General features: G+C 39.3%; 1 protein-coding gene across 8 annotated transcripts in view; it reads right to left on the reverse strand.

Annotated features, from left to right (window-relative positions):
- Positions 1 to 13,988, reverse strand: part of ELOVL7 (ELOVL fatty acid elongase 7) — a 92,479-nt gene that overhangs the window by 43,940 nt on the left and 34,551 nt on the right. For 3 of the 8 annotated variants that reach the window (NM_001297618.2, NM_024930.3, NM_001297617.2), the window contains exon 2: positions 3,450 to 3,500. The exons of 2 other annotated variants lie outside the window; for them this stretch is intronic. Coding sequence is in view for 1 of the 6 variants with exons in the window: in XM_017009888.1 (XP_016865377.1) it covers positions 5,059 to 5,113; positions 6,897 to 6,935 (94 nt within the window). In the remaining 5 variants the exon portion in view is untranslated. Of the gene's footprint in view, positions 1 to 3,449; positions 3,501 to 4,856; positions 5,114 to 6,896; positions 6,936 to 13,988 lie in introns of those variants that run through there. 3 more of the 8 variants (XM_006714695.5, XM_011543651.4, XM_017009888.1) reach the window with 2 other exon arrangements.

Here is a 13,988-nt window from a genome sequence, read left to right on the forward strand (position 1 = left end):
TCGGGCTAGAGGCTCGTCATTGTTCCTGCATGGCTAAGTGCCCAGGTTCATCCTAACCAGGCTGAACACTAGTCGCTAGGTTCCACGGTTCTCTTCCGTGACCCACGGCTTCTAAAAGAGCTGTAACACTCACCGCATGGCCCAAGGTTCCATTCCTTGGAATCTGTGAGGCCAAGAACCCCAGGTCAGAGAACAAAAGGCTTGCCGCCATCTTGGGAGCAGCCCGCCACCATCTTGGGAGCTCTAAGAACAAAGATCCATGCACGGTAACAGTATTGTATAGACAGTCTCTCTCTGGGTTATGACCCTAGAAAATCAGAGGCCCCAAGTCTCTGCTCCTACCATCTTTGGCAGGAAAAATCCCTGAGATAAGTAATAAACTTCTTAGTAAGAATTCAAAGGTTGCTAGGGAAACTTCCACCTAGATATTAATCCACACATTTCCTAGTATTTCCTTCCTCATCTGTTTTCTCACTGGAACTGGTTCCCCACTCTCGTCCCCATCCTTTATACTTTAGCAGAAACAAAATCTCAAAGAGGCTGTGAGGCTGGAGGAAAGTGACCAGCAGCTCTGAAGTATATTAAAACATGGGGGATGACTATAAAGTAATTATTTGTTTAAAGCAGGATTTCTCAACCTCGACAGTATTGATATTTGGGGGCAGACAATTCTTAGTTGTGGGGAAGTGTCCTGATTATTGTAGGATGTTTAGAACCACAACTTGGCTTCCATCCACGAGTGCCAGGAACAAGTCGTCCCCAGTTGAGATGATCAAAAACATTTCCAGAAATTGCCAAACGTCCCCTGTGGGGCAAAATCCTCCCAAGTTGAGAACTATTGTTCTAAAGGAAGCTACCAACATGTATTCATTCAAATAAAAGTTTGCTTCAGCGTAATCACTTTGGCAATTACACATTTGTGTGAGTGATACAGTCATCAAAACAATTTTTGAGCTTTTCTTTAAAAATCAACTTGAGTTTTTCAGAATTTCATTTAAATGGTTTTAAAGGAGGAAAAATCTTTGCCTACTGCTTCTACACAACAAGTTCATAACTAATCAAAAGTTAAGGTTGGTTTAGAGGCAAATGGATCAAGTGGAGCTGTATTTTAATCAATGAAGTGGGAAAGGGTGGGGAATAGAGCTGGGTTTAATGAAAAAGTAATTTACTACGGACATTTTCAGCTTATGGTTTATAAAACAAGAACAATTCCAAAAACAACTTGGGAAATGTTTGGGGCTATGGCAATATTAGTGGAAAAGATATATAGTAGTCTGAAGTGAATATTTTTGAGGAAACACTCATTTAGATGTATATATTCCAGCAGAATAGTTTATCTGCTGGAATTGTCACTTATTATAACTCCAATTAAAAGGAAGCAAACCTAGAATGTGGAACAGCCTCAGTAAAAAATTATTTCAAATGACAAATTTTCAAATTTGCTAATTATAACACATACGCATGTGTGTATGCGGCAATATATACATACTATACACACACACATTACAGAAGCAAAAATACATGTCCATTCCACCTATTACACAGGATTTTGTGTTTTGTTTTGATGGCTCATGTATACTAACCCACATTTCTCCTTGGTATTTTATGTATCACCCTCCATTCTCTTTTTGCCATTTCTCTCCATTGAATAGGTTGTTCACACTGCCTTGGAAGTAAAAGAGAACAGCAGAAAGCAAAGAAAGTTTTGTCTTAGCTTTTGGGTTACAAAAGCTTAGGCACTTAGCCATACAGAACACAGGGCAGAGACAAGAGGTGCCCATGCCTCCTGGCACAGAAAAGCATCCTTCAGGCTTGAGGGAAGGAGAGTCCGAGGAAAGGAGTTAGTACAGATCCCAGAGAGAAAGGTAATAAGCCCTGAGGAAGTGCCAGGTAGGATAACAGGAGGCAAGAGCAGGAGAGGTCAGGCACTATTGCCTGGGCAGAGTTGGGACAAGTGGCCAATGGGACTTTAGGCAGCCAGTGAAAGTTTCTTTTGCTCCAGTCTGGTGCAAGTGCAGTACAAGGACATCTGAGCACCCCCAATAGGCATGGAAATGGGAAAGGAAAATATCTTGGGCCCCCAAAGTCACTAAAGGGAAAAAGCAGCTGGGAACTGCTTAGGGCAAACCTGCCCCCAATTCTTTTCAAAGTTATCCTCTGCTCACTGAGATAAATGCATACCTGATTGCCTCTTTTGAAAAGGTTAATCGGAAACTCAAAAGAATGCAAGCAACCCTTTGTCTCTCACCTACCTGTGACCTGGAAGCCCCCTCCCTGCTTCGAGTCTTCCTGCCTTTGCTTTGAGTTGTCCCGCGTTTCCACACCAAACCAATGTACTTCTTACATACATTGATTGATGTCTCATGTCTCCCTAAAATGTATAAAACTAAGCTGTGCCCCGACCACCTTGGGCACATGTTGTCAGGACCTCCTGAGGCTGTGTCACAGATACGTGTCCTCAACTTTGGCAAATAAAGTTTCAAAATTAACTGAGAAACCTTTCAGATTTTCTGGGTTTACGGAAGTATTGCAGAAGAGCCATAGAAAATGAAGAAGTCATAAAAGTAGAAACAACATACATCTCTTCAGATCTGCAAGCACAAGTGGTCAAAGACGTGATGGGACCCTGGATATCTCAAAGGATGGCAATGTAGACAGAGAACATGGAGGATTAAAGGGCTCCTCCTCCCAATTACCTTGATACTACAGAAGCTTTTTTAACTTGCTGAGGGTGGAGGGGAGGTGCTTAGAGATTAAAGTGGACTAAAATAGTTTTCTACCACCTCAAGGAATAAAAGTTTGAAATAAAAATAAAGCTGTAAAAAAAATTATTTTCTTATATCAGGCCAAATAGACTTTAAGTCAAAAACTGTCACAAGAGATAAGATCATTATATGGTGATAAAGGGGTCAATTCATCAAGAGAATATAACAATTATAAATACATATGTACCCAACATAGTAGCACCAAAAATAATGCAAAGATTAATAGATCTGAAAAGAGAGAGAGACTACAATACAATAATAGTAGGGGACTTTAATGTCCTACTTTCAACATTGCATAAATCATGAAGACATAAAATAAATAAGGAAACATTGAACTTGAAGTACGCGTTAGACTAAATGAACTTAACAGACATGTGCTGAACGTTCTATCCAACAACAGCAAAATACACATTCTTCTTAAGTGTACACAGAACATTCTCCATGACAGATGATATATTGAGCCACAAAACAAGTTTTACCAAATTTAAGATGACTAAAATCATATCAAGCATCTTTTCTTGTCACAATGGTGTGAAACTACAAATCAATAACAGGAAGAAAACTGGAAAATTCACAAATACATGGAAAGTAAGCAACATGCACCTGAACAACTCATGGTCAAAAAAGAAATCAAAAGGGAAATTTAAAAATATTGAGACAAATGAAAATGAAAATACAACTTACCAAAACTTATGGGATGCCACAAAAGCAGTTCTAAGAGGGAAGTTTAAATGCCTATAATAGAAAAGAAAAAAAACTTCAAATAAATAATTAACATTACACTTCAAGAAACTAGAAAAAGAAAAACAAAGTCAGCAGAAGCAAGAAAACAATATAGATTAGAGTAGAAATAAAGGAAATAAAGACTAGAAAAACAATAAAAAGATCACCAAAACTAAGAGCTGGTTATCTAAAAAGTTCAACAAAACTGACAAACCTTTAGCTGCACGAAGGAAAAAAAAGAGTATTCATAAATAAAATTGGAAATGAAAGAAGAGACATTGCAACTGAGACCACAGAAATGCAAAGGATCATAAGAACTACTGTGAAAAATGATACACCGACATATCCCAGAATAAATGGATACACTCCTAGAACATATAACCTTCCAGGATTAAATCATGAAGCGGGAGAAAATCTAAACAGACCAACAAGGGTAAGGAGATCAAGTCAGTAATCAAAAACCTCCCATAAAATAAAAGTCCAGGACCTGATAACTTCACTGTTAAATTCTACCAAACATTTAAAAAATAACTAATAGACCGGGTGTGGTGGCTCATGCCTGTAATCCCAGCACTTTGGGAGGCTGAGGCGGGCGGATCACCTGAGGTCAGGAGTTCGAGACTAGCCTGACCAACATGGAGAAACCCCGTCTCTACTAAAAATACAAAATTAGCCGGGCATGGTGGCGCATGCCTGTAATCCCAGCTACTCGGGAGGCTGAGGCAGGAGAATCACTTGAACCTGGGAGGCGGAGGTTGCAGTGAGCTGAGATCACGCTATTGCACACCAGCCTGGGCTCAAAACTCCATCTCAAAAAAAAAAAAAAAAAAAAAAAAGTATAACTAATAGTGATTCTTCTCAAACTCTTCGAAAAAAAAATGAAGAGGAGGGAATACTTCCTGAACTCATTTCATAAGGTCAGCATTACTCAGATACCAAAACCAGACAAGGACACTACAAAAAAAGAAAACTTCAGGTCAATACCCTTGATGAACATACTGGCAAAAATCCTCAAGATAATACAAGCAAATCAAATTCAGTAGCACATAAAAAGGATCATTCACTATGATCAAGTGGGATTTATCCCTAGGATACAAGGATGGTTCAACAAATGCAAATCAATAAATGTGATATACCACATTAATAAAATGGAAGACCAAAACCACATAATCATTCCAATCGATGCAAAAAGAGCATTTGACAAAATTCAGCATCCTTTTATAATAAAAACTCAATGAATTCAGTTTAGAAGAAACCTCAAAACAATGAAGGCCATATATAAAAAGCTAACATAATACTCAGCAGTAAAGAGTTGAAAGCTTTTCCTCTAAGATCAAGACAAGGATGCCCACTCTCACCACTTTTTTTGTTGTTTGTTTTAAAAAATAGAAATTTATTTCTCACAGTTCTAGAGGCTGGAAGTTCACGATCAAGGTGCCAGCAAGATAAGGTCTCATTCTGAAGTCTCTTCTCTTGGCTTGCAGGTAGCAACCATCTCACTGCGTGTTTGAATGACCTCTTTGTTGTGCCCTCACCACTTCTATTCAACATAGTAGTCTTCCCTCCATATTCATGGGTTCTGCATCCATGGAATCAGAGGGCCAATTGTACATATTTTCAATCCACTGTTGGTGGATGTGGAATCCTCAGTTATGGAAGGTCAACTGTATTACACCATTAAGCATTCTAATTTTTAAAAATGTTTTACCGATTTATGTATTTATTTGGAGACAGGGTCTCATTTTGTCACCAAGGCTAGAGTGCAGTGGCATGGTCATGACTCACTGCAGCCTTGATCTCCTGGGCTAAGGAAATTCTCCCACTATAGCCTCCCGAGTAGCTGGGACTACAGGCATATGCCACAATGCCTGGCTAATTTTTTATTTTTTGTAGAGATGGGTGTCTTACTATGTTGCCCGGGCTGGTCTCAAACTCCTGAGCTCAGGTGATCCTCCCACCTTGTCCTCCCGAAGTGCTCAGATTATAGGCATGAGCCACTATGCCTGGCCTGGACTAGAGGAATCTCGGATTTTGGTACAGGGTCCTGTAACCAATCCCCCACAGATGTGAAGGGCTGACTGGAGGATCTAGCCACAGCAATTATGCAAAAAAGAAATAAAAAGGCATCCAAATCAGAAAGGAAGAAGTTAATGTGTCTCCTTGCAGCCAATAGGGTCTTACAACTAGAAAACCCTAAAGAGTACCAGGTGTGGTGGCTCACATCCGTAATCCCAGCACTTTGGGAGGCCAAGGCAAGGGGATCACTTGAGCCCAGGAGTTGAAGACCAGCATGGGCAACAAAGTGAGCCTCCATCTCTACAAAAAAATTAAAAAATTAGCCAGGCATGGTGGCGCACACCTGTGGATTCAGCTATACAGGAGGCTAAGGCAGGACGATGGCTTGAGCCCGGGAGGTCAAGGCTGCAGTGAGTCATGATCGTGTCACTGCACTCCAGCCTGGGTGACAGAACAAGATCCTGTCTCAAAAAAAAAGAAAAAAAAATGAAGAAACTAGAACAAAGCGAGCAGAAGGAAGGATAAGCAGCTTGCTGAGTCTGTTCAGTCTTTCTTCCCTTGCAGGACGCTTACTCCATCTCCTCCTGCCCTTGAATGTCAGATTCCAGGCTCTTTGGCCTTTGGACTCTGGGAACTTGCACCAGTGGCCTCTCAGGGGCTCTCAGGCCTTTGGCCTCAGACTGAGGGCTGCACTGTTGGCTTCCCTAGTTTTGAGGCTTTTGAACTTGGACTGAGTGACACTACTAGCTTCTCTCTCTTTCTCCAGCTTGCAGATGGCCTATTGTTGAGACTTTGCCCTGTGAGCCAATTCTCCCTAATAAACTCTCATATATATATATATATATATATATATATATATATATATATATATATATATATATATACACACACACACACACACATATATCCTATTGGTTCTGTCCCTCTGGAGGACTCTAATACAGACTTGTGAGTTTGTCAAGTGAGATTTGAAACCATTTACTTTAGGTATGGGATTGGGTCAGTACAATTTTTCTTTTATATCCCTTATGTCAGTGGTTCTTAAACCTGGTTGAAAATCAGAATCACCCAGGGAGAGATTTGGATTCAGTTAATGTTTGGGAAAATTCTGATGGGCCAGGTTTGAGAATCTTTTCTTAATGCTTCATAAATCATTCTCAGACATGACGACACCCATGACAACATGAGCAACAGGCATAAAATACATGACAAAGGATTCAGTTAAAGAAGGTCACTCAGGAACGATAAGGCATCTGGGTCAAGAAGGGCAGGAATAGGAGGTGCAATCAATGCTGGAAAAGATTAATCTAGGATTTCAAAAGAACTCACAAGAGATGTGAAATATGGGGACAGATCTTTGAATCAGCACATATATCCAGGATGTAAACTAACCTTTTATATCTGGGACGACTGCTTGAAGTTCCTAAGTATCTGTGAAAGAGAAAATCACTACTATATCTTATATCTTAGTAAATTACAGAAAATTAGACCATAAGCCTTGTCATTTAGGCAAACAAAATTGATGAAGAAATGTCAAAGATACTAAACACCTAACTTTCTATTTTTCAAATGGCAATGTTACAGAATCAGGGAAGATGCTTTCATTTGCAAGTAACAGAAAACTCATAATGGCTTAACCAGTAAGGGGATGTGTTTTCTCATAGTATAAGAAGTCCAAAGATATGGCAGTTCTCCTGAGTTGGCAAAATTCTCTTTTGTCATTTTTACGGAAAAAGACAGTAGCAACCCTTCCAAATAGCACATTCTCATACACCTTTATTTAGAGCAGTGAAAGGGAACTTCTTTGTGTCTCTTTTTGGGAGCTTCAAAATCCTTCTCAATCCTCCTCCAGAGGCCCTTAAATGTCCCTTCCCAGAATTGCATCACATGCCAACATTTAAACCACGCACTGAAAACAGCAACAACAACAACACTGGGACTGCAGTGATTCCTTGGTTAATCTACATTATATTTACCATTCCATCCCATCCCACAAGTCACAAGGGGAAGCACATGACCTCAGGGAGAAAGGAGAATCCCAGAATAAGGAAGAAGAGTGGGTAGCTCACATGGAAGAAGGAAGGTTGAGAGACAATGTTGGCTGTAGCCATGACACAGAGATTACTCTGCAGTGTCATTTCAAGTATAAACTGAAGCTGACAGCCTGAGCCTATCCAAGTGATCTCTACCTTTCCTGCTGATAGGTGCTCAGGATAAACTAATCTTGATTTTCGTTTAAACAAAGCATGATTAATAAGTGAATATGTTAAGTATGCCTGATAAACATACTTTGCAACACCATATAAGACTTGTTAGTGAATTACATACCTGCTATTTAGAAGTATCTTGTGCCATTGTCTCTCTGATACCCATAACACACTATAAACCTAAACACAGACAGCATAGGGTTGGGCTACTACTTGTAATTGTTGTTATATCACTTCCATGAACTCATGTTGTTCTGATGGGTATACAACATATTTAAATAAAATAGATGTTTCCCATCCCCCAATAACAATGACATAATAGAACATATTACCACATTTTCTATATGAATTAACTCAGGTCTGTCTTTCAATCAAGTTTAAGAGTAGTCATTTCCACGTCAAACAGAACCTCAAAACAAGTATTTTTACCATCCTTTCCACTCCCTACTACTCCATTATTTCATCTCAATTTTCACTTCCTCATTTTCCCTTCATAAAGGGATTAAGACTTAAATGCCTCTAGAAAAGATAATATATGTGCATGACCCACCAAAGTAATTCAGATTCCATTTCTGTTTGGCACAAGCTCTTCAGTATAATCATGACTCTTGAGTTTGAGCAGAGGCAAACAAACTAGATGTTCACTCACCAACCTCAACATGTTAACGTGACAACTTGTAAGAAATGAAGGAGTCCTAGAAGCCAATGATATAGCAACAGGCCCCAGTAGAAAATACAATTCACGTAAAAACCTTAGCACGAGTGCTAAACATTGTGCTACTTAATTGCGCTTATTTTTACTCTTATTGATAATAGAGGGCCTCTGAATCTAAGCAGAGCAATCAGTATCCTTCTGGAGTCTCTGGTCCTAACTCATCATTCTATAATTGGAGAGACAGGGCAAACTTAGAAAAGAGTCAGAGAATCTTTAGGGGAAATAAAGGACCCACTGAAGTTGCCATCACGTATAAGCTCAGTGCTAGGCAGTGCGGAATGGGAGGATAAAGACAAGGGCCCTACTCTCAGGCAGCCTCAACATGTGCAAAGAGTCTAGACTCTGGGATGAATAAATGTGAGTATTAAGAAAAGCATCTTAAAAACTGTACAGATGATAGTGACCACTGGGACCAACTGGGAAGTCTCTCTATCAGAAGAAGTGATAAGTACCCCAAAGGCAGTTTAATTCTTGTTTGTAATTTAAGTGCTAGGACTTCAATAGTCCTAGTCTCGAATAGAACAAGTGCTTAAGAAATATCTGCTGAATGAATTTAAAGATGTTGTAAACTCAGAAAAATAAGGGAAAGCAAGAGGGACAGACCAAATGCTCCATTTCTTAGGCCTTCTTCCCCACTTTTTTGAAACAAATACAAAATACTCCTCTCATTCATTTTCTCCTCAAACACAAATTAACTTTTAGGCATCTATTATTGTGCAAGAAAGTGCTAAGCAAGACACAATATTATTTTTAAAATATGGTTCCTAAATTCAAACAACTGAATCTGGCAGGTAAAAGGCACCTACTCAGATTTCTACAATGCGAAGCAGAATGCAGGGGCATGCAAACAGTTCACACAGACTGCAAAAGTCTTTAGGAATGAAGAGTCACATCTGTATCCACATGTGACCTAGAAGAAAGGCATAATGGAGGAAAGTGTACATGAGCTGAGCCCTGGGAATAAAATTTCAACAGGGCAAAAATGTGCACAGCTGAGAGAAAGGAGAGGCCTGCACTGCAAGTAGAGAAAATTCATTCGCTTATTCAACCAATATTCTGAAGTATATGTTATAGGCCAAACACTTTTTTAGGTGACAATGATACAGTAGGAAACAAAACAAAAATCCTGGCTTCATGAGATTATGAAAAGTTGCAGATGTGTCTCCAAAATGTTTGTTACTACAACTTGGTAACATACAGGGCTAAGGATGGAAACAATAGGAAGATCAAGACAGGAAAGGTAGATTACAGTGGTGGCACCTGATTCTGGAGGAACCAAAGGCCAGCCAGGCTAAATAATTTTTTTAGAGTTAGTTCTGTTGACCATGAGGAGTCATTACAGGTTTCTCAACTGAGAAATGTCTTAATCAATGTGGTGCTTTGAAAAGATTGTCTGGGTGGTGGAATCCAGGGCTGGGTAACTAAGGGTGTGGTTTAAAAGCAGGGAGAGCAATTACACACTATTGCATCTATTGGGAAGGATCCAGCATAAGCCAGTATTGCATCCTACTGGGAAGGATCCAGCATAAGCATCACTTCCTCTGAAATGTCATTCTTGATTCAGCCAGTCAGGGCTAGGTGTGCCACTAAGGTATCCTCAAAAGAATCTCTCATCTATGGGATCACTTCCTGTATATAGTATTGCAAATCTATTCTTATCTTTTCTACTCATGAAGAGGAAAGAGACTGAGCCTCATTATGTCCATATTCCCAGGGCCTAGACCAACGCCTGGCATGTAGCAGGAAACATGTGTGATATGAGTAAATATCCAAGTGTTATGGATTGAACTGTGTCTTCCCAACATTGTATGTTAAAGTCCTAACCTCCAGTTCTTCAGGATGTGACCTTATTTGGAGAAAGAGTCTTTCCAGAAGTCATCAAATTATAATGAGGTCATTAGGTGGTCCCTAATCCACTATGACTGGGGTCTTTATAAAAAGGGGAAATTTAGACACAGACATGCACACAGGAAGAGCACCCACCTATAAGCCAAGGGAGAGGCCTGAACAGATCCTTTCCTCAAAGCCCTCAGAGAGAACCAACCCTAACAACACTTGGATTTCAGATTTCTCATCTTCAGAACCATGAGGTAATAAATATCTGTTGCTTAAACTACCTAGTTTATGGCACTTTATTACAGCAGCTGTAGCAAACTAATACACCAAAGTGAAGATGTTCACTCAACTTGAAGAAAAATCCAGAATTGGAGCCCAGGATTAAAGCCAGGGTTACCTATAAAAAGAGGCAATCATTGTCATGGGAGCAGACTAAATCTCTGTGAGAAATAATATAGAAGGAGACATGGCAAAGGGCAGCACTCAGGGGACACCCATGTTTAGGAATCAGGAAGAGCAGCTGAGACAAATTTAAAGAAGCAACAGCCAGAAAGGTGCAGAAGGAAGCTGCCTGGTAGGAGCTTCAAATACTGCAAAAAAAGAAAAAGAAATGATGAAAAAAAAAGAGTAACAGAAATTTATTGTCTCACAGTTCTGGATGCTAGAAGTCTAAAATCAAGTGTTGGTAGGGTTGGTTCTTTCTGAGGGCTGAAGGAACTGTTTGCGGTCTCTCTCCTTGGCTTGTGAACTGCCATCTTTATGTTCACAGGGAGGCAGCCCCTCAGGGAACACCCATGCTGGGGAAATAGAAAGAGAATCCAGGGACAAACATAAAGAAGCAAGTCAGAGAGCTGCAGAAGGGAGCTTCTACTTTGGTATTGGTAGCAGCTGCAAATACAGAAAAAAGAAAAATAAATGGTCAAAAGAAAAACTGCCCACAGAATTTCACAGAGGCAACCAAATAAGGAAGGGCTACATACAAATGTTCTAAATTGCAAAACGCTGTGGCCCAGGAAAGGGTCGGGAGCAGAGTGGCATCTACAACACGGCAGGGTTCCTAACCCAACATGGCCTCTTCCCCCAGCTGCACTGGGGATGCAAAAGAGCCTGAGAAGCCTCACAAGTAACCTCACATCGGAGGAGAAGCAAACAGACTAACAATCCTAATTTTGTTTTTTTTTTCTCCAGGTGGTGAATGGTACAACAGGATTGATTCTGATTATGGAAACTCCATACACTGGTGAACAGATAAAAATGCCTTAAAGGGAATGGGATGCAACCTATGAGGTGGAATGAATCTTGCTATGAATATTGAACACTACAACTCAGGTTCCTGAATTCTTCTTTTTTTCACTTTCCATGTCCTTGGGCTACAGGAAAAAATGACTATAAACTGAAATTATCAGCCCTCAAACTATTGCTCAGTGAGAAAAAACAAACTGGCTCAAAAACACTGAGGGAAAGAGACAGCAAAGCACCCAAACTGTATCAGACCAAGTATGTGGTCTGACCAGAAGTGCCCTAATATTCATTTGATGAAAAAAAAAAAATCACTAGAAAACTTTACAAATAAACTGTGGGGGGAAAGAAACCAAAGCAAAAAGGACACAGCAGACAAAAAAGAACCCAGAACAACAAAAGGTAACTAAAGGAACAAAAGGAAATTCTCCAGAAGGGTTTTGAGTTAAAAACATGTATTCATAAAATGATAAAAGAATAAAATGGGGCCGGGCGCGGTGGTTCACGCCTGTAATCCCAGCACTTTGGGAGGCCGAGGCAGGTGGATCACAAGGTCAGGAGATCGAGACCACCCTGGCTAACATGGTGAAACCCCGTCTCTACTAAAAATACAAAAAGTTAGCCGGGCATGGTGGTGGGCACCTGTAGTCCCAGCTACTTGGGAGGCTGTGGCAGGAGCATGGTGTGAACCCGGGAGGCAGAGGCTGCAGTGAGCCGAGATCATGCCACTGCACTCCAGCCTGGGCGTGAGACTCCGTCTCAAAAAAAAAAAAAAAAAAAAAAAAAAAAAGAATAAAATGGAATGGGAGACTGTAGGACCAATGAAACAAATTGAGGACCAAAGCTCATTAGCACACTAAAAGATAAATCAGAAACAGCCAGAAACAGAGTATTCACAACCAAACAGTGATTTCTAGGTATAGAAGAAAACCTGAAGTGTTCAAATGAAAATGATAAAGGTTAAACTAATAGAAAAAAAAAAGAAGGGCAAAGATGATCCCATAAAAGGGTAATTGGTCTTTCTAAAGTACACGATTCAACAAAAGAAAAAGTAACATATTCAAATACATGACAAAAAATAATTTCCTACTGACTTTATAGACAGACTGAGAAAACAAGGTTGTAAGATAATCTGATGCATAACAATCAATAGCAAGACAAATCCTGGTTAAATTGATGAACTCAAAGAATAAGAAAAAATTCTTATGCATCTATGCAGAAAAATCAAATTAAAGAAATCAAAGAAAACCTAAATAAATGGTAAGTGATACCATGTTCATGGTTTGGAAAACTTAATATTGTTAAGATATCAATTCTCTTAAATTGGTCAACACAATTCCTATTAAAATCCCATATACTTAGCATATGACCCAGCAATTTTACTCTTAATATTAACCCAAGACAAAGAAATACTTATATTCATTCCAAAACTTGTACATGAATGTTTATAGTGACTTTATTCATAGTCACCCAAAATAATAAACAACTGAAATTTTCTTTGACTAATAAATGGATAAACAAACAGTGGTATATCCATTCAATGAATTACTACTCAGCAATAAAAAGAAAAAGGCTGCTGATACAACATGGATGAATCTGAACTGTATTTCTGTTAAGTGAAATAAGCCAGACTCCAAAGAATACATACTATAAAATTCATCTATGAAATTCTGGAGAAAGCTAAACTATAAAGTTGGAGAACATGTCAGAAGTTGCTGGGGTTGGAGGATGGAGGGGAGTTCATTACAAAGTGCAGCACAAGACAATTCTGGAGGGTGATGGAAATGTTATGAGAACAAAATGGTTTTTTCTTTAAAAAATAATATTAAGAGACTGGTAAAATGTTGACAATTTTTGAGAATGGTTGATGATAGTACATGGGTGTTAATATCTACCTCTGTGTATGTCTGACAACTCTATTTTAAAATGTTTAAAAATGAAAGAAAGAAAAAGAATGTTAAGATGACAACTGGTATTGGTATGTCGAAGAATCTAAGGAAGAAAACTAGTTCTCCAGTGTTGAGTGAATATGGATGAAGAAAAAACCTACTGAATTTTGAAACTAGCTAAATTTATAAACTTCTACAGTATAATACACAGTTGGGTGGCAGAAATCAAACCCAGGCCCCAAGGAGTGAGGAGGCATTGAAAGTAGCTAGTCTTGATAAATATAAATTTATCCCAGAGGAAGGTTTGAATGGAAGGACTTCTAGAGCTTGTCTAGCTGTGACGACTGAGGTTCTGAAGGATTTTCCAATAAAGAGTTGGACCCAACACTCAGCTCAACTGACTTCTGGGATCACTCCCTTTCTATGACCCAGTTACTCAAGATACTTATTTATAGGAGGAAGAAAGAAGATAGTAGAGTGAAGGACAGATTTATTTCAAGGACAAAAACATCTTGAATACATTTGTAAGGCCAAGAAAAGTTGGTGGAAGAGGAGAAGCTGAAATTGCATGAGTGTTTATGTATATGCCTAAGGCAAA

This window comes from Homo sapiens, chromosome 5 (assembly GCF_000001405.40).
Source record: "Homo sapiens chromosome 5, GRCh38.p14 Primary Assembly".
Taxonomy (NCBI): domain Eukaryota; kingdom Metazoa; phylum Chordata; class Mammalia; order Primates; family Hominidae; genus Homo; species Homo sapiens.